The sequence below is a fragment of the Homo sapiens genome, chromosome 10 (assembly GCF_000001405.40).
Source record: "Homo sapiens chromosome 10, GRCh38.p14 Primary Assembly".
Taxonomy (NCBI): Eukaryota; Metazoa; Chordata; class Mammalia; order Primates; family Hominidae; genus Homo; species Homo sapiens.
Window position 1 is genome coordinate 84,079,100 of NC_000010.11, and position 4,467 is coordinate 84,083,566.

General features: G+C 41.9%; 1 pseudogene; it reads left to right on the forward strand.

Moving 5' to 3' along the window:
* Positions 2,234 to 3,712, forward strand: HMGN2P8 (high mobility group nucleosomal binding domain 2 pseudogene 8; annotated as a pseudogene).

Here is a 4,467-nt window from a genome sequence, read left to right on the forward strand (position 1 = left end):
GTGGCTCATGCCTGTGTCCCAACACTTTGGGAGGCCAAGGCAGGAGGATTGCTTGAGGCCAAGGGTTCAAGATTAGCTTAGGCAACATAGTGAGACCCTGTTTCTATAGAAAAATTGGCCACGTGTGGTGGTGCACACCCGTAGTCCCAACTACTCAGGAGGCTGAGGCAGGAGGCTTAGTTGAGCCCAGGAACTTGAGGCTGCAGTGAGCTATGATCACACCACTGCACTCCAGCCTAGGTGACAGAGTGAGACTCTGCTCTGAAATAATAATAATGAAATTTTTAGAAATAAAATAATTTTTAGAAAGACTCAGACACAATGGAGTGACAAACTCTTCAAAGCCCTCCCAATCACATCCTCTTGGCTATGGCTGGTTGAAGACTTCTTTGTTGTCATCTTTTATAAGGAAACTTCCTTTGGCTTTCTTTTTCAGGAGGCATCTTAGACCCTTCAGCTTTGCCCCAGTGGTCCTAAACTCCAGTCCAGAACCCCTTTTATGACAATAAATGTGGTTGTTTTATTTTCTTTACTCAATTTTCAATGCTTGTTCTTCTTAATGAGCATTTTCACTACCTAATTGCTTAATTAGATTACAATAAACTTACAGGATCATGTCAAAAATGAAGATTCTGCTTAAGTAGATCTGGGATGGGCCCACGATTCTGCCTTCTTTACAAGCCCGCAGGAGATACAGATGCTTCTCGTCTTGAACCGACCCTTGGGAAGCAAAGTTTAAGGGATTTTCAGACACATATGACATTGTTCCAGTTTGACTAGGAAAATGAATGCATCCCTACATAGGAAGCAGTAGCAGGGAGCATATGTCTGAGAATGAATACCTATTCTTGAAAATGCCCAGAATGTGGTGCATGAACACACTCACATAAGCGTGCTCTACAGCAGAGGTTTTCACACCTGAGTGTGCATCAGAATCACCTGGAAGGCTTAGTAAACACAGACTGTGGGCCCCACCCCCAGAGCTTCCACTTTAGTAGGCCTGGGTTGGAGCCCAAGAATCTACATTTCTAACAAGTTCCCAGGTGATGCAAATACTGCTGGCCCACGGACCATTTTGAGAGCTGCTGCTCTAGCAACACTGAAACCAGTAAAACCTCCACTATAAGAAATGACAGTTTCCAGTCATCAGCGTGAGAACAAATTACCCTCTGGATTCCTGCGCCGCTACACAAAAATGTTAAATCATCTAGGCTGGACTTATCTGCCTTCTGACATATGTCCCCCCACCTTTTGCAAACGTTCACAAAGACCTTTCAATATTAATCTCCATATGTTTACTTTGACTTTTAACCTGGGTCTTTGTATTTGAAGTGGAATACCTGTAGACAACATACAGTTGAGTCTTATTTTTTCAATTCACTCTCCAGTCTGAAAATCGGTCTTCCTATCAGTGTATTGAAACCACCTATATTTAAGGTGATTATTAATAGAGTTAGATTAGTATCTACCACGTTTGCCACTGCTATCTATTGGTTGCATTTGTTCTTTCTTTTTAAAAAAAAAAAAAAGGTGATGGTGTCTCACTGTGTTACCCAGGTTAGTCTCAAACTCCTGGGCTCTAATGATTCTCCCACCTCAGTCACCTAAGTAGCTGGGACTACAACTGCATGCCACCGCACCCATCTGTTCTTTCTTTTTTTTTTTTTTGCCCTCCTTTTCCTTCCTTCCTTCTCTGGTTTTGAGTATTTGATATGATTGAATTTTATCTTCCTAGTGCACCCATTATACTTCTTTTAAAATTTTCTACCTCTAAAGTATATCATATATATGTTCTTAACTAATCTAAATCTATTCTCAAATAACATCATAACTCTTCACATGTAGGGCAGGCACCTGATAACAAGCACCTGGTCCCAATTTCTCTCTAGCCCCTTGTGACATTGCATTCATTCATTTTAATTATCTACATGCTAATCATCACCCAATACACTGTTACTATTATTACTTCGAACAGTTCTCTTTTAGATCAATTAAGAATAAGAAAATAAATTATTTTATTTTACCTTTGTTTATTCCTTTACCAACACTCTTCCATTCTTTATACAGATCCAAGTTTCTCACCTGTATCATTTTCCTTCTGCCTGAAAACTTCTTGTAACATTTCTTGCAAGGAGTATCTGGTGGTAAAATTTCTTTTCAGTTTTTATTGGCCTGAGAAATTATTTCTTCTTCATTTTAGAAGAATAATTTTGCTGAATATAAAATTCTAGGGGCAGTGTGAGAAGAGGCGAGAACAACCACTGATCTGACCAAAGCCTGCTGCATCCTGCCCCAGCGCCTACGTCCCACCGCTGTCGCCGCCACCGTGCCCAAGAGAAAGGCTGAAGGTGATGCTAAAGGAGATAAAGCCAAGGTGAAGGACAAACCACAGAGAAGATCCATGAGGCTGTCTGCCAAACCTGCTCCTCCAAAGCCAGAGCCCAAGCCTAAAAATGCCCCTGCAAAGAAGGGAGAGAAGGTACCCAAAGGGAAAAAGGGAGCCAGGCGCGGTGGCTTACGCCTGTAACCCCGGCATGTTGGGAGGCCGAGGCCGGCGGATCACTTGAGGTCAGGAGATCGAGACCAGCCTGGCCAACATGATGAAACTCCACCTCTACTGAAAAATACACAAATTAGTTGGGCATGGTGGTGCATGCCTGTAATCCCAGCAACTCGGGAGGCTGAGGCAGGAGAATCACTTGAACCTGGAAGGCAGAGGTTGCAGTTAGCCGAGATGGCGCCACTGCACTCCAGCTTGGGCAACAGAGCGAGACTCTGTCTCAAAAAAAAAAGAAAAGAAAAGCTGATGCTGGCAAGGAGGGGAATAACCCAGCAGAAAATGGGGATGCCAAAAGAGACGAGGCACAGAAAGCTGAAGGTACTGGAGATGCCAAGTGAAATGTGTGCGTTTTTTATAACTGTGTACTTCTGGTGACTGTACAATTTGAAATACTATTTTTATCAAGTTTTATAAAAATGCAGAATTTTGTTTTACTTTTTTTTTAAGCTATGTTGTTAGCACACAGAACACTTCATTACTATTTTTGGGGGAAGAGGCATATGTCACTCATAGAATGTCTCCGAAGCTGGATTGATGTGAGGAAAACACCCTTCCCTTCTAGTTTTGAGAGACTTCCTCTTGGCTCCCAGGAGGAAGGATTCCCTGACTTTGACACCCATGGCCATCTTCGCACAAAAGCCTTGTGGGAGGGAAAAACAAATTCATTTTTATGTCCTCTTCTCCCTTTCCACCTTTCAGCATAGACTTAACTCCCTGAAGCCCAGACATCTGTTGGGACCTGACCCCCAACAATTGGTTACCAGTGTGTCAGGCAATCTGGACTTTCCAGTGATACCAGTGAGATGGCACCCCTCAAAAGAGCAATGGTTCCCTTTCTAGATTGTGGATCTTCAGATCACTTCTGATATTTTCATTTCACTTCCTGAAAGTCCGGGTTGGCTCATGAAAAGTTGTTAAACAACATGCTATATATGACAGGTCAACCCTTACTCTAAACTTTCCCCATTCAGAGCATCAGATGAAGACTTCATTGGGTTTAACAGTGGTTTTTTGATTTCAGTAGTCCATTGAATAAGGGAGTTTGAACATTGTTTTATACTGTTAACAACTGTCTGCCCATGTCCTGCCTGAAATACCATGATTGTTTGTGGAAAGTATCTTTAATAAAGCTGGATACAGTCTGGCTTGGAAAAAAATAAAAATAAAATTCCAGGTTAGTGAGATTTTTCAATCAACACTTCAAATATTTCATTCCATTCTCTTCTTACTTGCATGATTTCTAATTAGAAGTTTGATGGCCGGGTGCAGTGGCTCACGTCTCTAATCCCAGCACTTTGGGAGGCTGAGGTGGACAGATCATGAGATCAGGAGTTCGAGACCAGCCTGGCCAACATAGTGAAACCCTGTCTCTACTAAAAATACAAATATCAGCCGGTCACAGTGGCGGGCACCTGTAATCTCAGCTACTCGGGAGGCTGAGGCAGGAGAATTGCTTGAACCCAGGAGTCAGAGGTTGCAGTGAGCCAAGATCATGCCACTGCACTCCAGCCTGGGCAAGAGTGTGAGACTCCATCTCAAAAAAAAAAAAAAAAAAAAAAAAAGAAGTTTGGTGTAATTCTTATCCTTGCTTTTCTGTGGTAAGTGGTCCTCCACCTTTACCTACCCAGCTTCTTTGAGACTTTCTCTTCATCTTTGGTTATCTGCAATATAAATATGATATGCTGAGGTAAGTGGTTTTTGATCATTTAACCTGTTTGGTGTTCCCTAAGCTTCCTGAATCTGTGGTTTGGAGTCTGTCACTTATTTTGGAAAGTTCTCAGTCATTATTACTTCAAATATTTTTCTGTTCTGTTCTCTTTATTCTTCCAATATTCAAATTACACATAAGTTACACCTTATGAAATTGTCCCTCAATTCTTACTGTTCTGTTCTGTTGTTTGTTGATT